Source organism: Homo sapiens, chromosome 6 (genome assembly GCF_000001405.40).
Source record: "Homo sapiens chromosome 6, GRCh38.p14 Primary Assembly".
Taxonomy (NCBI): Eukaryota; Metazoa; Chordata; class Mammalia; order Primates; family Hominidae; genus Homo; species Homo sapiens.
In genome coordinates, this window is record NC_000006.12 from 36733444 (window position 1) to 36753592 (window position 20149).

Genomic DNA, 20149 nt, shown 5'->3' on the forward strand with positions numbered 1-20149 from the left:
TGGGATGACAGGCGTGAGCCACCGCCCCCAGCCTGGGTTTGGTATTTTGTAATCCTTCAGGTACTGGGGAATTTCCTGGCTGAATCAATGGAAACCCCAGTTTCATAGGGGGACAAGCAAAGACAGTTCAAGGAACAGAGTTACAGAGAGAGAGAACGAAGGAGAAAGAGGGAGCAACAGAGGGCTGTTGCATCACACAGTCTTAGGCCCTGGCCCCAACCCCTCTTCTCAGTTCTGAAAGGAACGTCTCAGCAGCAGTGAGCCTTCCATCACCAGAGGCGCACAAGAAGACAGGTAATGCTTGGCAAAGGTGAGGTAGAGAAGATCCCAGCATCTGAAGCTGCCAAAGTTGGATTAGATTCCCTTAATGGACCCCATTCAACCTCCAGACTCCATGTGGATGATTCCCATGGTCCAGCTGATTCTTTGTGTGTTTTTGTTTTGTTTTGTTTTGTTTTGTTTTTTTGAGACGGAGTCTCACTCAGTCGCTAGGCTGGAGCACAGGGGCGCAATCTCGGCTCACTGCAACCTCCACCTCCCGGGTTCACGCCATTCTCCTGCCTCAGCCTCCCAAGTAGCTGGGCCTACAGGCGCCCGCCACCTCACCCAGCTAATTTTTTGTATTTTTAGTAGAGACGGGGTTTCACCATGTTGGTCAGGATGGTCTCGATCTCTTGACCTCATAATCCACCCGCCTCGGCCTCCCAGAGTGCTGGGATTACAGGCATGAGCCACCGCGCCCGGCCCTCCAGCTGATTCTTTTACTGGGCCCTTCACTGATCCTTTTTACCCCAATGTCTTCTCCCATCTCAGGTCCCCTCCCGCAGCCCACAAGCCTGCCCCTGAACTGAGCAGTTTCTCAGTGTGCTCAGAGAGAGAGAGAGAGAGAGAGAGAGAGAGAGAGAGAGAGAGAGAGAGAGAGAGAGAGAGAGGGGTGTGGGCTGCAGTGAGTGATGCTGGCCCTGGATAAGGATGGGAAACAGGTCCTATAGTTGCTAATGGCTCTTTCTCTGGGGCCCAGGGACCTGGCAGGCACCAACATCTCTGTCCTGTAGGCCAGGGAATTAATGAGGCAGGTAGGCAGGGTGTGATTCCTGGGAGAGGCAGTAGAGCAGACAGCCCCTGTCGTTTGGGGGCCCGGTACGGGAGTGGCCCCCAGGCCTCCCCGTCTCAGCTCAGCTCTGTTGTGGCCTCAGGCAACTCAGGTTCGCAGGAGGTGGAGTTCTGGGAGGAACTCCACACTGCCCAGCACCCTCTTTTGGCTTTCTTGGGCCGGATCCACCTGCTGGGCAGGGCACAGCTGTGCAAGGACCACCAGCCTTTCCTGCTGTCAAAGGGCTCACAAGCCAGGGAACAGGACCCAGGAACCTCAGAGCAGCACAAAGTAGGCAACGACAGCAGCAGGAGAAACTTGAGGTAGACTTCAGAGTGAACTTCCAGGCAAGTGGTGAGTTCTTGGGGCATGTCAGCCAAGGAGGCTCTGATTTAGGCTTAGCCAGAGTCTGATTAAGAAAAGGAGGGTGGGACTGGGCTGATGGGACTCAGGCTGTGGAGTGAGAAGGGAGGGCATGGGGAGAGAAGGAAGGCTGGGCAGGAGCTCTAAGAGAAGAGGGCTTTTGGGAGCTGAGGGTGAGCAGGGGCAGAATGACATCCCTCCTTTACCCAGTGCCTACCGTATGCCAGGCACTGTTCTGAGCACCTAGCTCGTGTTAATTCATTTAGCCCTCACACCATCAGGCGTGCTCCCCCATCTTACGGAAAAGGAAAGTACTGCATAGGGAGGCTGAGTAACTTCCCCGTAGTCACGTAGCAAGTAAGTGCTGGAGCCAGTGTTAAACGCAAACGCCGATACCCATAGACTTAACTCTGAAGTTATGCAACTGCTTACAGGAAGATGCGGATGCTTCGGGGAAGGAGGGGCCAGGTCCCTGAAGCCTCGTATTGCTCCCTGCCAATTCCTCTCCAGTAATAGTCCATGTCATTGGTGGGTGTGGACCAGGAAAAAGAGACGAAAAGGCAGTGATAAATGCCAGGAAAGTGGCTGGATGACAGCCTTCATCCAGGACAGGTCCTTCATTTCCCCTCCTCCTGCCGTCTCTGAAGCTGGTGGGACCCGGGAAGGTGGCCGACATCAGAATTCACAGAGGCCCCCTCTCCAGTCTCCCCTCAGCTGCCCTCAGGCACGTTGCTGCCCTGGGGCCCCAGAGACGAAGCCAAGTTCCCCAGGCTGGGGCTCTGCAGGAGGGACTCAGAGACTCCTTCAAACCTGGCTTTGAGCCCGCAGGAGAAGAGTGTCTCCAGCCCCCACCCCGGTGTGGTAGAAAAGGGGAGGGCAACTCCAGTAAGGACTCCTCTGCTATGTCTTGTTTGCTGCTGGATTCCGGGAACCTGGTCCAGAGCAAATGCTCAGGAAATATGTACTGAGTTAGCAGGCAAGCCTCCAGCTAAAGCTCCCGGGCCCTGGCCTGGCCTGCAGGGCGGCCAATGGTGACATCAGCCACTGGGCTGGCTCTAGGATGTCTACATCCCATCTTGTAGCCAGAGTCCTCCCAATCGGGGACTCCCCCTGCCCTTGACATGTGGGACAGAGTGGGGGTGAGAAGAAAGGTCTGACCACTGGGTGCAGACTCCCCCACTCTGCCAGGGGCCTGCACAGCATAACCTAGAGGGCAATGATTCCCAGGCTGGTCTGCCCTTAGAATTATTTGGGATCTTTCAAAAATGCTAAAGCCCAGACCAACTATGTCATGTCTCTGGGGGTGGGACCCAGGCTTCTGTATTTGTGAAACTCCTCAGGTGATCCCAAAGTGCAGAGAAGCTTGGGAACCACTGGAAGGGGCTTCACACCTTCTCAAAGCCCTTTCAGACCCACTTTTCCATTTGAACCTCAAATTAAACCTGCTTGTTTCACAGGGCAGGGTTTTTGTTTTGTCAAAAAATAGATACATATGTGTGTGTGTATGTATGCACATATATATTTATCAGATTATGAAAACAATGTGTACTCCCTGCAGAAATTTTAGAAATAAATTTTAAAGAAGAAAATGAAAATTACCCTAGTCTTACCACTTATGATAGTTACTATTGACATCTGTTTTATTTTATTTCCTTGCTTTCTTACAGCTGAGGAAACTGAGGTAGAGAAACATTAAGTAACTCTCCCAGGGGCCAGGTGCGGTGGCGCCTGTAATCCCAGCACTTTGGGAGGCCGAGGCATGAGAATCGCTTGAACCTAGGAGGCGGAGGTTGCAGTGAGTCAAGATCTCACTCCAGCCTGGGTGATAGAGTGAGATTCTGTTTCTAAAAAAATAAATAAATAAATAAATCCCAGGGTACTGGAGCTAGCAAGCAGCAGAGGCAGGATTTGAACCCAGGGTACTAATGGAGTCCATCCCATGGGGTTGTCATGAGGTCTGCAGGGGCTAATGTGTGCCAAGGACAGGCCTTATCTGGGCCCACTACATGCAGGGGGTCTGTGAAAAAAGGAGGCTTAGCAGGAATGGGGAAGGCGGCCTTTGGGGCTGGCTGGTTTCTACTTTGTCCTTGTGTGTTTGAAACAGAATGGAGCCCAATGCTACGTTCACCACGCAGCTCACGGCCACACCTGAGCGACTGCTCCGACTCATCTCTGCTGGGGTCTGTGGCCTCATCCTGCTGGTGGGGCTGTCAGCTAATGGGCTCATGCTGCTGGTGGTGGGCCGGGGCCCGGGCTCCCCCCACCCGCTCCACTCCCTGACCCACAGCCTCATGATGAACATCACGCCATCTGACCTGCTCTTCCTGGCCTGCGTGGTGCCTGTGCTGCTGCTGAGCTTCCTGCAGCACAACTGGTGGCTGGGCCCTGCCATCTGCACCATTAGCCAGGCCACCAACACAGCCACCACGTTCTGCATCTTCTATAGCATGGTGGCCACAGCTCTCCTGCGCCATGTGGCTGTGGCCCGGCCTGACCTGGCCTTCCCAGCCGGCTGGGGCACCCTCTTGCTGCTCTGTGGGGCCATGTGGGCCCTGGGCCTTACAGAATCCCTGCCCAACTGGCTGTTCCAGAGGGTGGCAGTGGAGGAGGAGACAGCGGGGGCTCCCAAGACCCAGGCCTGCCTCTTGCTCCTGAGCCCTGCTGGGACCTCCTGCTACATCAGCCTGCTGGGAGCCCTGGCCTTCCTGCCATGCACGCTGGGGCTGGGCTGCTCTTTCAGCCACGTGGGCTGGCTCCTGTGGACCCAGCCCCAAGGTCCCATGGGAGAGAGCATCCAGGAGCATTAAGAGAACATAGGGCTCAGCCTTGTGGTGCTGGTGGTTTTTGTGCTGATGTGGGGGCCCTGCTCCATGCTGGGTTATGTGGCAGCCATGGGCTACCTGCCTGCCACACCGGCTGCTTTTGTGGCCTCCAGCCTCTGCACCATCCTGGCCTACTCCAATTGCGCTGTCAGCCCTATCCTCTGCTTCTACCTCTCCCGCCCCTTCCAGGCAGGACTCAGGGACCTCTTCTGCAGGCCGATGATGGCCAGGCATCCCAGAGGTGTGGGAGTGGCAGCCTCAGTGGTGGCGACTGTCCAGCCTGGCCGTGACAGGGCCTCAGGAGGCCTGTGGGGCCTGGCGGGGGTCTAAGAGTATAGGCTGATGGATGCGCTGAGATTCAAGGGAGATGGGAAGACCCTTAGGGACCTGACAGCCCATCCCCTCTATTTTACCAGTGGAGAGACTGAGACCCAGAGGGCAGATGGCCCAAACAAGGTCACAAAGCAACTAAATGGCTCAGCTAGAGCTCACATCTCTAGGTAACCAGATGGATCCTCCCACTCCACTTTCAGGCTCAGATCTCTGTAGGCTCCACTGCTCTCTAATTGTGTGATCTTGAGCCTCTGTGTCTCAGTGTTCTCATCTGGAAAATGGGATGATGACAGTACATACCTTCTTCACAGGGTTGTTATGAAGATGAATTTGCTAAACACATGTAAAGTGCTTAGAAGGATGCTTAGTAAGTGCATATGCGTGCTGGTCATTGCTACTATTATTATTTTATTTGTATTAATTCAGGGGTATTTGAGGTGAGTGGACAAGAGGAGGACAGAGGGGCTTCCAAAGGCAGAGAAGTGGGTGGAGAATGATCTGGGGGGTAACAGCCTAGGGTCCTTAATCCTGAAGGCCAGGAGATTGAGTAGGGGGAGCAGAGGGCCAGCCACAGCCTGGGGGGTGAGCTCAGAGGCAGGACAGCCTTTCCCCTCTCTGCCCACCCCTCCAGCTCTGTTCCACACACCCCTCAGTCCAATAGGGGGACAAAAATCCAGTCAACCATGCAGCCATGACTCCGGGACTGTGAATGTCTGAAGCCCTCCTTTCTTCCCTGTGGCTTCTCTTCCTGAAGCACCTGGGGCAGGGATCCCTTTCAGAGCCCTTTTCTTCTCTCCAGAGCCCAATTTGAGGTTTCCATTTTTCCCACCCTCAGTGCCCTCCCTCTGGCCTGCTCAGGGCAGGCTTCAGGCTTCCATGTTGGCCTGGAAACCCGGGAGATTGTCTCTACTGAAATTCCCAAGACAGCACGTTCTGCTTGGTGACGGTGTTACCAGCAAAACACACATACACACACTGACTCTGTGATACAAAGCTTGAGAAACGTTGGGTTGAACCAAATCATACTGGTCCCTTTGCTGTAGGACTTACCAGAGCCTTGAATACCCAAAAGGCCACTGAGACTCTCGAGAGGGACGCACAGCAGGCAGGTTCCCAAACTCCATGCCAGAGAGCCAGTATTCTGTGGAACACACCTTGGGAAAGAATCCACAAGATGCTACGGTGTTGGGCACAGCAAAGATGCTCTTGGTGTCCCGTCCCGCCCCCGGCAGTGGCTCTGTGCCTCAGTCCCCCTGCCAGGCAAGCACCCTCTCCTGACACTTTCCCACGGCCCCTGTGGTGAGGTGACATGAGCTGCTGGTTATGGGAACTTCCCTCCTTCCAAGCTGTGACCCCACCCTGTTCCCACTCAAAGCATATCAGAATGTAAGTCACAGGGGCATGTAATTATAGGGACAGCCGTGAATCAGCACCCATTTACTATAAAATCATAAGAAGTAAACAAGTCCCAAACTTTGGTATAATTAGTTCCAAATTTCTTGTGATGTTCAGGGTGGGAATGGCTGCCTGGAGGGCTAATCTGGGAACAAACTTGCCCAGAGAAGGGAGAAATCCCCTTTTGCTATGATCCTGGTCCCTGATGGCCACAGGGATTTATATGTGAAGAGGAACAAGAGGAAAACAGTGTTTCTTGGGCACCTAAAATGCCATGGGTCCTGGGCGCATGTCACATATGTCACATGCAACCTTATGTACTCGTCACTCTGGCCACACGATGACCCTGCAAGGATGGGGGTGGTGGTGACGACCCCATTGCACAGGGGATGCCAGACTCCTCCTCATGGCACAGTGACTCTGGTGCCCACAGATTACCCAGCCCCTCCTGATGGCTTGGCATCAGTACCCCATGGTTGTAGTATTTCCTCGCTCACTGCCCCAGAGCAGGGGCACCCCTGAGGGTGCAATTCTGTGTGTGCATCTCCAGCATGGTCTCCAATACGTGAGTGGGGCCTGGCACTCATGTTTGGTAAATACTTGTTGAGAGATGAGTGAATGAGTGATCAAATGCAATAAAGCAATCCGTTTATTTTAGAGGAAATTCTGATGATGTTACTCACTTCTCTCACCTCCTCAATGGCTTCCCGTTTCACTCAGTAAATGCCAAAGGCCTCATCATGGCCTATGCGGCCTGTGCATTCTGGCCTCTTCACCTCTCCGACCCCATCTCTAGCACTTTCCCTTCCTGCACTCAGCTCCAGCCACACTGGCCTCGCTCTCCTGCAAATGCACCAAGGAAGCTCCTACCACAGGGCCTTTGCGCCTGCTGGTCCCTCTACTTAGAGCTCCCTTCCCCAGATATCAGCGTGGCTCCCTGTCTTACTTCCTGGGGGCTCACCTCAACCATGACCTCCTCTGAGAGGCCCTCTCTGACCACCTCATCGAAAACATCACCCTCCTTCTCCCTCATGTGTCTTTAGAACTCTTGCTACCACCTGAAATGATGTTACTAGCCTATTTGTTGATGTGTTTGCTGGGTCTCTCCCATATTATCTGTGTGTGTGTTGTAAGCCCTGTGCAGGGACAGGGTCTGTGCTTTGTTCATGGCTGCATCCTCAATGCCTAGCACAGAGCGTGGCACGTGGCCTTTGATTGTAAATCTCACTGAAGCAAACAATTGAAGGAAGCCACAGAGGAGAACTGGACCCTGTCAAGCAGCAACGTCAGTGCTATTTTTCAGAGAAGAAAGAAAAACTTCGTGCTTTACTAAAAGAACCAAATTTACTTCAGTTTAAGGCAAATTCCACACAGAGACTGTCTCAGAGACGGGCACAGAACCAGACACCGTAGAAACACCACCACCATGCATGACGGGGAAGCAGAGGCAGGCGGAAGACGGGGGCCTGGCCTGCACCAGGCACGGAGAGGTCAGTGGGCTGAGGAGCTCCATGCGGCAACAGGGATTGGCATGCATGATCTGCTCCCCGAGTGGGCAAAGGCTGGGCAGCTGGGTGGGCCCGGGAGGGAGATCCCCTTCTTCCCCACCTTTCCCACAGCAGGGGCAGGAGCTCGGGCTCAGATGCCAGAGCCCCAGGCTGAAGGACTAGGGTATGTTTGGGGTGATGGGATGAGACAGGGTGACCCAAAAGCCAAGGCGGCCTCAAGTAGGGTCACATCTGTTAGGAGTAGGATGGGGGGAACTGGGCATGGGATGAATGACCCTCAGGATGTCAGACCTAAAGGAAAACCTGGGGCCATCTGGTCAACCCTCTTGTGGTACAGACATGGAAACTGAGGCCCAAAAGGTAGAAGGGCCTTGCTTGGGTTCCCACATTAGGCAGTGGGGGGAGGCAGGGCTCAAACCCAGGACTCCTGTCTCCTAGCCTCATGGGATACAGGGCAAAGAGCAGGAGCAGTGTGGGAACGTGGGGCTGAGCCACTCCTTACTCAGGCCTCCAGATGGGCAGAGGCGTGGGCACCGAGGGCCCTGGGAAGCCTCTGGAGGGAGGAAGGGATTCCTGAAGCCAGGAGTCAACCATGGAAGTACCTGTGGGCCCACACCAGGGAGAGGCCTCCACAGGCCATCTGTGTGTCTAGAACTTGCATCGTACTGAGTTCGAGAGGCACCAGAAAGGGCTCTGTGCTGAGCAGCCTCCACTTCAGGCCCATCACATGGCCTACGGTCCATGATTACAGCACCCCATGGGGTCCCCGGGGCTCCCAGCGCATCCAGTGTCCCTGGGAGGGTGCACATGTTCAGGCCTTCCTGCAAACCCATCAGCTTCATGGGGTTCACTGGAAATCGGGCACAGGATAGACCACAGGGCGGGGCTCAGGGACAGGAGTAGACACCATGGGAGGATGGGACGGAGATGGGGGGCTGGAGGAGGCCAAGCCCAGGCTTCAGGGTGACAGGTAAGCAAATAGGATTGCCGGGGGTGGGCGACAGGGACCCCAATCACCCTTATTGTTTACACCTTCCTGGCTGGGTTAGAGCCAGGTATTGGGGAAGAAGAGAAGGGCTGGGTCCCTGTGTACCCCTCTTTCACCCGTACCCCCCTAACTCCCTGGGTTTGGGCAATAAGTGAGGCCAAGAAATTGAGGAGGGGTCTTCAGAAGCCCCACCCCCTGGCAGCCTCCCAGGCACACAGATGTCCCAAAGGCCGGGCAGGCCAACTTCGGGGAGTCTGGGGCCCTGGCCTCCCATTCACCTGGCCTCTCCCAGGCCCCAGCCACCTGCCTGCTGAGACCAGGTTCAGATGTGCGTGTGCAGGGGGGACGCAGGGGGCGTGCGGGCTGGGGACTGCGAGGGCGAGTGGGTTGGTGCTGCGGGTGGGGGACGCGGGCGAATGCCCTGTGCCTTCATGTAGGACACCAGTTGGTCAGGGATCTCTGCCAGCACGTCTCGGGCCAGGCGGGCCATGCTCAGCACGTGGTTGCCTGTGCGGTCCACGTAGTCCCGGAAGGGTACAAACTGGCAAGTGGGAGGGCAGGGTCAGGCAGTGCCTCCTGTGGGACCCTGGCCCCCAAAATCTCCAGGCCTGGGGTTGCATCCCCACCCCCCTCCCAGCCTCTGCTCACTTGACTCAATCCCCCCACCTTTCTGAATTACCTGAGGGACTGTATCCCTCAACTCCCTGGGTTTGGGCAGTCAGTAACTATAGTCATAGTCACTATTCTTTCATTCACTCGACAAAAACTGAGCCCTATTCCACACCAGGACACACCACTGAACACGATTTCTCCACCTCGGCACTAAGCACAGGCTCTGAGTAGGTGCTTCCGAAATGCCAACTGAATCCCTGACTTCTGGGGCACGTGCCCTCCTGGGTTTCCCCCGACCTGTCCAGCAGAGCCCTCTCTCTCTGGCCTCTCTTCGTTCCTTTTCTCTCTGGGGCTAATCTGGCCAATGCCTAATGCCAGGCCCATCTGGCTTCTTCCCGGGGGTGCCCTCCATCCTGAGCGCCTCTTCTGGCTCACTCCTGCCTCCAGGCCTTAGCATGGGCCGGTCCCACCTCCCAGGTTGTCTTGCTCTGGTTTCCAGCCCCCTATGTTTGGTCTCCACACCTGGGATACTGGGCCCCAATTTTTAAACCAAGGGGGTATGCAGGATGTCAGCTTTGTCTTCTGCATCTCCTAAGCACTAGGGCCTCCTCTGCAGGGGATGAGTGGGGGAAGTGCTTGCGGAGGGTGCATTCTTCCACGTGAGACTGCATGGGAATTCCCTGAGGACAAAGGTCTTTCTGCTCATTATATTTGCACCGTTCATGGAGATGCTTACATTGATTCAGTTAACCGAGCAATGCCTATTCTTGGAGAAGGCTGCAGCAACACTAAAGACACTGCCTCAGCCTTCAAGGGGCAGAAAAAAACCAGAACGAGGCTGACCACAGAGGCCTGGAGGCTGAGGAAGGGCTGGCAGAGGGTTCTGGCCTCTGGCTGGGCACCCGCAATGTTAGGAGTGTGTCCCAGATGTGACAGAGGGGGGCCCAGCCCAGACCACAGCATGGCCGAGGACTGACTCCTACTCCCTTCGGTGGTGGCTGGGCCACTTTGGGGCTCCCAGTGCCTCCCTTCTGGGCCCTTCACCAGGGAAGCCCCCAAAGGGGGTGTGAGGTCCGCCTGGCTAGAGGGGCTCTTGAATTTCCCATGGGGCAGGCAAGGCCTGGGCTTCACCTGGACGATGTCGCGTTCAGCCAGCTTCCCCCGGGAGGAGATCCGCACGTCGTCGCCATCCAGCTCCACCATGGCTGTGAGGGGAGGAGTGTCATGGGGCGGGGTGAGATTAACGGTGGACCCCTGGCCCTAGCAGGAGAGTGGACTTGTCCTTTCATCCCAGGCCAATCCAGGGCCGAGACCACTGGCCCATGCCCCGTGTTAGAGATGAGGAAACTGAGGCCAGGGGCCAGGAGGAGCCCGATCAGGTGAGCCTCTGACTTTGAGCCCAGTGCTTTGGTTCACCACCCTCCCCAGACTCCCAGGGCTGGAGGAGAAAGAAGTGACTTGGGGCCTCCTCCCCACAGCCTTGGGATGTGGGTGTGGGTGCACACCCAGACCTGACACACCCTTCCCTGAGCAAACAAATGCGTCCCACACCCTGCACACTCACCCAGACACACACGCCCAGGCGGGAGCTCTCACTCTTTTGGGAGGGGTCATTCCCAGGGGACCACAGCCTCTGGGGAAACATCTGGGGTGGGGGCAGGGTTGCGTGGCTAGGGAAGGAAAGGAGGGGAAGGCAGCAGCTGGACTCACCGTCGAACTCTGCCTGGCCCACGCCGACGATAATGATGGACATGGGGAGCTTGGCAGCCTGGGAGACAGCATGGGGGGCAGGGAAAGGTTGGACCCAATTGGGACCCAGTTAAAAGGAAGGAGAAATCAGGGGTAGGACAGGAAGGGGTGGGCAGGAAAGAAATGGGAGAGTGAACATGGAGAGACAGAGAAACACAGAAAAGGGGGTAGGGAGAGGGAGGGCACTCAGAGATAAAGAGCAAAGGAAACCAGGCTGCGCCTGGAGGAGAGAGGGAGGGTGGCAGGGGGAATGGGTCATAGGTCTGCTTTGGTGAGTCACCCCCATCCCCTCTTACAGGGAGACCACCGGCTTGGGGAGCCATGTTCCTGAGCTTCCCCAACTCTGAGCCTCCCCTCCCACTCCTTTGACCTGGCCAGGCTGGCCTGGGAAAGGGGGAAGCGGTCCTAGAGATGGGTTAATGAGGGAGTCATTGGGGTCTGGAGGGAGTAGACCAGAGCGTGACTAAGAGGTGGGAACAGAGCTCACCAGCCAGATCTCTCATGATCTGGGCACCCCTTCCACCCGCTAGAATCCACTATCCAGCACCGGACTCTGCAGCCAGAGGCCAGAAGGTGGATGAGGGCAGTGGGGCCCAGTGAGGCAGGGAAATGAGAAGCCACGCCCAAGTCATCTCCAAGCATTTCCCTAAGGTCAAGGAGGTAGGCACATCCCCAGGGTTCCCCTAACGGGGAGGAAGACACTCCTCAAACCGCCTCCCCCACCGCACACTCCTTGCTTACGTTGACAATGGCCTCCTTGGTCTGCGCCATGTCCGAGATGACCCCATCAGTAATGATGAGCAGCACCGAGTACTGGGAGCCATCCTGCACGGCCGCTGCATTCCTGGGTGGGGCAGGTGTGGGCTCAGGTCTGTCTGCGGGACCTCTGGGCATGTTCCCCCCTAAACAAGGACCCTGAACACTTTGGAGGGTGACAGCTCTTGGGGGAATCTCTTCAGGGTCAGGGCTCCCTGAAAGGCAAGTGCGTGGGAAGAGAAACCCCCTCCCACCACCCAGAGGCAGAGCTGGTGTGGAAACAGAGGCCTTGTGAGTGCCTGGAGGCGGTGGCAGCGGCACTCACCTGGCCACGTGGGTGACCACGGGGGCAAAGTTGGTGGGGCCGTACAGCTGCACAGTGCGCAGGCTGCGGTGGTAGGCCTCCAGGATGCCGTCGATGCCACAGCATGAGGGGTTCTCCTGGTTGCCATTCTGGGGGACAGAGGGCAGGGAGGCTGAGCCCAGGAAGGAAGGACAGGGGTGCACGATGTGTGGGAACTGAGTCCAGGTGGGGAGGCCAGCAGGCCTGGGCTCCCCCAGGTCTTCTCTGGTGTGGGGTGGCGGGGCAGGGGAGGGAGCTCCCAGGGCCCATCCTGAAGCAGTGCATGCTTCAGGTGAGCTGGGTCCAAACCTGCTCCTTACCCGGCTCCCTGTACCTGTTCAGAGATGCCCCAAGATCCCTGGCTGCTTCCCTCAGGGAACCTTGGGTAAATCCACTCTGCCCTAAAATGACTGCTGGGTCTCAGCAACTCAGGAAGGACCTGTGGCTGATCTGTCCACGTGCACACTGGGCCCAGCACAGCACCTTGCACCCTCAGGCATGGGAGGGACGTCTGCTGTGCCTGAGTGTCCCCAGCTCGTGGGAGCCAGGGAAAGGGGTGGCCTGTGCAATCATCTCCACAGGGCCCGGGATGCCCAGATGACGCCATGCTCCACATCACCCTGGAGATCCACGTCATCCCATCTCAGCACTGACTCAGGGATACCCAACCCACACCACCTTGTTCACTTTTCTGGGGCCCTGAGGGATGGGTCAGCCACAGCTCGCCTCCACCTGCACCTGCGTCTTGTCAGGAACAAGGAAGCCAGGGCCAGCTGTGGGCAGGCAGCTTCAGACATGGAGGGGCAGCATCTGTGATCAGGGAAGGGAGTGGATTTCTGGAGCCCCCCTACACACAGCAGGCAGTCTACCTCCACTGAGGCTGAGCCTTAAGTCCCCGGGCTCAGAGGAAGGGAAACGTCCCCCCACCCCCAGCTTGTCACCTCACCCCCAGCCTGATCAGTCCTCTCTCCCACCAGCGGGACCACCTACCAGTGGGAACTCGTGGGACACTCTGCCATCCGGGGGCAGCTTGGCCCCGAAGCCCAGGGCAGGGAACATCTTGTCACTGTCGTAGTGCTGGATGATCTCTCCGACGGCAGTCAGCGCCAGCGCGTAGGCGTTCAGCTGGTAGGGGCTCATGTAGTGCAGGGATGTGGACTGTGAGGGGTTCCCTGTAACACAGGACATGGGAGCCTTTGACCATCTGGACCCTCCAAGTCACCCCGGGTTCAGAATGAAGAAGGGGGTGTCCAAGGGCACCCCTAACTTTTATTAATTCTTGACTCCTCTCTTTCTCTCATACCCCATGTTAAATCCTTCAGCAAAACAGATCTAGAATCCCTCCTCCGCCTCTCCTCCTCCCCATACCACCACCCTCTTGCTTATAGGATGCAGCAGTCTCCTAACTGATCTCCCACTTCCTTCTGCCCCTGTGCCTCCAGCCCATATCCAGCACAGCAGTGACTGAGCCTATCCGCCTCAGAGAGATCATGCCTCTCCTCTGCCCAAAACGCTCAATGCCTCCACCTCCCCCAAAATGAAACCCAAAGTCCTCACAAGAGCCCGCAAGCACTCATGATCTGGCCTCCAGGTCATCTCCTACCCTCCTCCCTGTCACTCGCCAGTCCCAGCCTCACCAGCCCCTCGCCATTCCCACCTCAGGACCTTGGTGATGGCTGTTCCCTCTACCTGGGACACTCTTCCCCAGATGTCCACTCCCTGGCCCGCTCCCTGGCCTCTTCAGGTCTCTGCTCAAGTGTCACCTCCTCAGTGTGATCTTTTCCAAGCAGCCTATTAAAAATTACAGCCTCCCCCAATCCTTCCTATCCTTCTTCCTGGCTTGATTTCCCCCCCCAGAGCCCTCTTCGCTGCCAATATAGTCTGTATTTAACTTATTTGTTCATTGATGGGAGGTAGTACAGCACAGATTGCCAAGGTACCAATCCTGTCTACCTCCTGCTAGTTATGTGATCTTGGGTAAGTTCCTTAACCTTAGCCTTAGTCTCTTCACCTGTAAAATCAGAGCAATAATAGTTCCTACTTCATAGGATTGATGTGAATATTACACAGATGCTATCGATATTATGATAACTATCCTCAGTGTTATTATTACTAAGGCCCCTTCCAGCTCTGATAGCCCAGTGCTCTATGATGCTAGGACTTACAGCTATAAGAGGAGCTCCTGACACCTGTAGAGGGCAAGACCTGGGCATTTTTGATTGGTGCAAAAATTAGCACTGAGCACCCCTAATAGAGCCCAGAGCCCAAGGGAGGTTGTGATGTTTCTAATCATGTAAAGTTGGGCACTGTTATTGCTCCTAGTGACTCAGCCACAGGCTGACACTGGAGAAATTGGGAGGAGGTAAGGAAGCCAGGGCAGCCCCAGCCAGGTAAGGACTGGGGTCCCTGGGCTGGATCCTGCCTCCCTGAACACCACAGAGCTCAGCCTTGGCTCTGATTCTCCACTCCAGCCTGTGGGTTGGACTGCACAGAGGAGCTGGGATTTGATCCCGGGGGGAAACATCTCCAGGGCCCTCCATAGGCCCAGAGTACACACAATCCCATTCCCCCAGGGAGACTGGGTGTTCCTCAAGGACAAGGCTGTGGCTCAGAGCCCAGATTTATGTCAATGGTCCAACCTGGGGATACTACTGCCATCTTGGTTGTATCTTTGGTCCTCCAGACCTAGGTACATCCTCTTTGGTGAGGAAGAGGCCAGAGAGTATGAGGGTCATGGTCCCAGCCAGGGCCAGATGCCACAGCCCTTAAAAGCTCTCTCCTCCCACCCTGCTCCTCTACCCATCCCCCAACTCACCATTGGAGGCAGTGAAATCAATGGCCACAGTGAAGTTGATCTGGGTCCTAGAAGAGGGAGAACAGCAGGGGAGTCACCTGGAGGGAGGCAGGGCTGTGGGAGGGGGGACAGTGCTAGACATTGGCTACCACCCTGGCTCTGCTGCTTGCCAGGTGTGTGGCCTTGGTGAAGTCATTCATCTCTTTCTAGTTCTGGAGAGCTGAGATAGTAATGCCAGCTATGCCCCCCTTACAGGATTAATGAGCATCAGAAGAGTTATGCAGTAGGAAAGCTCTTTGAAGATGATTGTGTTCTGTGTGGGCATGTGGCTATGGTCACTTATTTCCTCCACAAACCCTACCCCCTGGGCCCACCTGTGTAGGCTGGGTGAGGTTGGGTCTCATTGGATTGCTGACTCAAATTTGGAGTGAGATTCAGGACGAAAACTCATTTGACAAAAAAGAGAGTCAAATAGACATTATGCATCTCCTAAAGAAAGAATAGAATACCACCCATGAAGTTGTCTTACCAAAAAATTGAACCTGATTCTGATTGAGGCTCCAGAGCTGTCTAGTTAGTTACAGGAAATACAAGGGACAGAGGAACACATTAAATGACACCACAGGAGATGCAGCCAGCAAAATCCAGTCTTTGGGAAACTCTGTAGAAGCACTACCAGAGACAGCAGCAGCACCATCTCCTGGGAATATGCTGGGCCTCTCAGACTCTATCTAGCTCTCCTGAATCTTTTTTTGGAAAAGAGGTCTCGCTCTGTCACCCAGGCTGAAATGCAGTGGCGTGATCACAGCTCACTTCAGCCTCAACCTCCTGGGCTCAAGCAGTTTTCCCACCTCAGCCTCCTAAATAGCTGGGACCACAGGCACGCACCACCACACCTGGCTTTTTTTTTTCTTTTTGCAGAGATGGGGTCTCATTATATTGGCCAACCTGGTCTTGAACTCCTGGGCAAAAGTAATCCTCCTGCCTCAGCCTCCCAAAGTGCTGGGATTACAGGTGTGAGCCACCACATCTGGCTGAATATTAGATTCTCTTGGTGGGGTACAGGAATCTGTGTTAGCAAGCCATTCAGGTGCTTGGGGGGAATGAATAGATGAAAAGAGAATTAAGAGACCAACCCACCAATCACAGCCTATGGCTCTTGCCTGGATTTCTGACTCAAACAAACCAATTTTAAAACTATAAGATAATTGGGGAGATGTAAACATTTACTAGATATTTAGTATTAAGGAATTGTTAATTTTTTAGGTGTGGTTATGGTATTGTGGTTATGTTTGATAAAGAGAGAGTCCTTATGTTTTAGAAAGACATCCTAAAGCATTTGGGGATAAAATATGATGGCTGGGATTTGCTTCAAATTGGATATTGGGAGCCTGAGGTGGGAGGATTGATTGACACTAGGAGTTCAAGGCCAGCCTGAGCAACATAGTGAGACCTCAAAAATAAAAAAAAAAAACCCACTAAAATAAAAAATAATAATAAATGACTGAATGAAGGGTGGAGTGCATGAAACAAGACTGGCTATGATGTGGTAATGGCTGAAGCTGGGTGAAGGGTACTTGCATGTTGATTATACCTTTTCTCCACATTTGCATGTGTTTGACGTTTTCTATAATAAAAAGTTAGGTTTTGAGGATTCAGATTCAGGCTTGAGACTTTCTGAGGGCTTGGCCATTCTAGGTTCTCTGCCGGGTCCAGACAGAACAAAGCTGACAAACACAAGTCCCTGATAAAGTCTAGTCTTATGGTTCTCACACGGCAGTGAGCATAGAATCACTACGGGTGCTTGCTTAAGAAGATTCCAGGGCTCCACCCCAGAAATGCCAATTGAGTTTGTCTGGAGTGGCTCCCAGAATCTACCTCTTGAAAAAATGTCCACTGCCTTCATCCAGGGATTATGAGGACACGAGGCTGGGATAACGCTGGGGAAAACTCTGTTCTAGTAATTCTTAGTTGGGGCTATGGATGATGTAAGATCAGGTAGGCCTCACCTCACTTGCATTTAGCAGAAGGTGCCTATCAGAAACCACAGCTCTATCAGCCCAAGATCCCTGTCACAGACACAGCAGAAGGTCCCTATCAGAAACCACCTGATCACAGCTGAGCTGCTGCTCATGGAACCCTCACTCACCCCCAGGGAAATGTCAAGGACATGGTTAGCAGGAGACCCCAGCCAGGGTCTGCTGGCCACAGACAGTCATCCCCACCTCTTTCTCCTCTTCTGCTGGCTGGGGGCAGAGCATCCAGAGGATTCCAGGCAGTAGGATAGAAGGAGCCGCAAAGCTAGCAAGAACCTGGGTCCCTGAATGACTGCGTGGATCATCTCCCCACCCAACCCTGCCATCCCACAGATGAAAAACAGACCTTTATTGGTATGAAGGCTTGAGGTTAGGGAATTATGTGTTACAGCAGTTGACCTACCATACTCATCTGCTGTTTGTTGTCACCCCCGCTTCAGTGTGGAATGTAGAACGCATGTCTTTGTTAGAGGTAGGGAGACATTTGGAGGGTGAAAGTCCCGCTCCCAGGGCCACTCTTGGGAAGATGATTCTGGCCTGTGGGACTATACTGGAGGGACACTGTTGGACTGGCTCTTCCAAATACAGGGTGAGGGGAAAGGCAGGCCTTGCTCTAACTAGTCCTCCCCTGCCCTGGGTTCTGAAAAGCCTTGGGAAAGGAAGCAATTGGAAAGCAGATCCTCTTGTGGGAAAATTACTCGCAGCAGCCTAGTGTCTCCTGCCTAAGGGTAGAACACAGGCTGCTGAGCAACCAGCTCCTCCTCTGACAGTGGGGCCAAAGTACCCATACCCTTCCTCCTGGGTCCAGGTGGGCAGGTGAGGGAGGCCAGGGAGGAGAGGATCCCTAGACATCAGCTTCCTGCCTGGGCATGCATGCCAGGCTCTCAGTCCCTGGAGCCAGCTCCCTCACTCAGGCTCTCCAGAGAGTTTAAAGAGAGGGCTGGCTCTGGGGCTATAACCTGCCCAGTATGGGTGGCACCAGCTTAGCTCAGCCTCTGAGGGCTCCTTTTCGATGAAACCTCACAGCATCCAGCCCTTTAACTCATCAGTCTCCATCTTCATCCCACCCCACCCGCTAACTGCAAGTCAGGCAGGCTAGACTGATTCATTACTATAGAATGAAAGGCAGCATGTTATGGGAGAAGGAACCCTGCCACCATCTAGGCGTGTGGCTTCAGGCAAGCTCTGTAAAATGGGGATAACTGTTCTGATCCTGCCCACTGTGTTCTGTAAGTTGGGGGTACTATGCAAATGAAAAAAATAAATAGGATGGACTGGGTGTGGTGGCTCATGCCTGTAATCCCAGCACTTTGGGAGGCCGAGGCAGGCGAATCACCTGAGGTCAGGAGTTCGAGACCAGCCTGGCCAAAATGGTGAAAGCCCGTCTCTACTAAAAATACAAAAATTAGCTGGGGGTGGTGGCGCATGCCTGTAGCCCCAGCTACTCTACTTGATAGGCTGAGGCAGGAGAATTGCTTGAACCCAGGAGGCGGAGGTTGCAGTAAGCCGAGATTGTGCCACTGCACTCCAGCCTGAGTGACAGAGCGAGACTCTGTCTCAAAAAATAAATAAAATAAAATAAAATAAAATAAACATAAATAAAAATAAACAGGATGAGGGGTGTTTGAGAGTTACCAGGTGCTATGGACTGTAAGGGGTGGCTGATTAATGGGATTGAGAGGGAAGCAATTTTGATGGGGGAAGAGTGCAAAGGCGGGGTCTGGAGTCAGCCCAGAGGAGGGGCAGGTAAGAGCAGAGGAGCTCCTGAGTGACTGGAGGCAGGGTGTGTGCTCAGTGGGTAGGAGGAGAGCTTGCAGCCTTGAGACTGCAAGCTCAAGGCAGCAGGGAGTGTTGTCATGGGAAAGTGAGTGTGGCTTCCCAGGACCTGACTTCTCCCTCTGCCCTGGAGAACCAGGCAGCCAAGGGTCCACTTGGCTGGGATGAGCCTTTGGCAGTTGCTCCTGCCTGTCTCCTTTCCAGACAGGTGCAGTCACTCACCTGCGGGCTCTTGGCTGCCCACGCCCTGACCTGGCACCTGTCCTGGCAGGCAGCATGCTGGGCAGGCTCTACCCTTAGAGCCAGGCTCTTTCCGTGAGCTGCTGGCTGGGGCCTCCTGGCTCCCCCATCTGTCTGGGCCTAGACACTGTGCCTGGTGGTTCTTTCTGCTCCTTAAACTCATGTTTGACCACCTGCTGGCCCCAGGACCAATCCCTGGCTTATCCCCAATCCCGCTGCCCTTACAGGGCCCTAATAACAGTGAGCAGGTTAATCACTGTCCCCCTCCCCCAACCAGACAGATCAGAGGTGTCAGAAGCTCAGAGCTGTAAGGAACCTTAACACTTACCTATTCCGTTCTCTTTGTGTACAGAGGAGGAAACTGATACCCTGAGAGGAAAAATGACTCACCCAAAGGAACCCAGCAAATTAATGGCAAAGAGAGGCCTAGAGCCTGGGCCTCCTGACTCCTATTGCAGGGTTCTTTCTACATCCCCAAGCCCTTGGCTTTCTGTCACGGAGTCCCTACCAGCTCCAGGTCCTGTCTCTGCATGGAGACCTGACATGACCCAGGCCAGCCTCCTTGGCTCAGGAGTTCCCTCCAAGCTGCTTGGGATCTGGGGATGTGCAGGGCTCTGGATGAGTTGTCTCAGCCCAAACACCAGGGTTTGCTCAGAGCCCAGCACCACAGCCTTCAACCAGGGCTTTGAAGAGGCCAGGGTGGGGCCAGAGCCGGTCCTGTCGGTGTGTGGGGCCCTTTCCCTCTCCCCAAGGCCCATGAAATTGGCTGTATCTCTTCTCACCCTCCTTTGATGTAGTCAAGGAAGGTGCACTCTGACTCCACAGCAAAGGAAAGCAGGGTGACCTTCAAAACAAAAGGGAGCTTGGTCAGTGGGGAGCCTGGGGTCAGGGGAGATGGGTTATGATTCGAGAGCTGACATTGACAGAACACTCGGCATGTGCCAGTTTTGCATGCATGACTGCATGCACTGCCCACACCACCCCATGAAGTACTATTATTATCCCCACTTTATAGCCAAGGAAACTGAAACCCAAAGAGGTGGTGCAATGTGCCCAAGGACACTGCCAGGGCAGAGAAGGGATCTGAAACCAGGGTGTGTCTGACTTCAGAGCCTGCACTCTTGACCTTGACGGAAGGGTCCCATCTGTGTCAGTGGAACCGGGGTCCAAGCCAAGGGTGTTAGTTTCCTCTAAGTGGGCACTGGCTCTTCAGCCCCAGGGACCTAGGGTGGGGTGTGGAGGACAAGGGGGCCCTCCTGGCACAGGCCTAACAACCTGCCAATGCCGACCAGCTTCAGGCTTCCATGTGCCTAGAGCTATTAGTCCTGAAATGTGCCTCTT

At 54.8% G+C, this 20149-nt stretch overlaps 1 protein-coding gene and 1 pseudogene across 25 annotated transcripts in view, besides 2 other annotated features; one reads left to right on the forward strand and one right to left on the reverse strand.

Annotated features, from left to right (window-relative positions):
* Positions 1817-2318: an enhancer, noted in NCBI's record as "H3K4me1 hESC enhancer chr6:36703037-36703538 (GRCh37/hg19 assembly coordinates)". NCBI's record gives its function as "activates a minimal SCP1, AML or CMV promoter by ChIP-STARR-seq in primed H9 embryonic stem cells {active_cell/tissue: H9 hESC(primed)}" and the evidence as "EXISTENCE:reporter gene assay evidence [ECO:0000049][PMID:30033119]".
* GPR166P (G protein-coupled receptor 166, pseudogene) lies at positions 3667-4440 on the forward strand (annotated as a pseudogene).
* Positions 7332-20149, reverse strand: part of CPNE5 (copine 5) — a 99224-nt gene continuing 86406 nt past the window's right edge. For 8 of the 25 annotated variants that reach the window (XM_011514769.2, XM_011514768.2, XM_011514770.2 and 5 more), the window contains 7 exons: positions 19591-19652; positions 14778-14824; positions 12953-13134; positions 11945-12072; positions 11605-11707; positions 10825-10882; positions 9808-10319 (listed from right to left, as the gene is read on the reverse strand). In XM_011514769.2, the coding sequence (XP_011513071.1) occupies positions 9847-10319; positions 10825-10882; positions 11605-11707; positions 11945-12072; positions 12953-13134; positions 14778-14824; positions 19591-19652 (1053 nt within the window). In that variant the 3' untranslated portion in view covers positions 9808-9846. The other 17 variants (NM_020939.2, NM_001410887.1, XM_047419191.1 and 14 more) reach the window with 11 other exon arrangements.
* Positions 11490-11690: a silencer, noted in NCBI's record as "peak5789 fragment used in MPRA reporter construct". NCBI's record gives its function as "represses an SCP1 promoter by STARR-seq MPRAs in K562 erythroleukemia cells {active_cell/tissue: K562}" and the evidence as "EXISTENCE:reporter gene assay evidence [ECO:0000049][PMID:32103011]".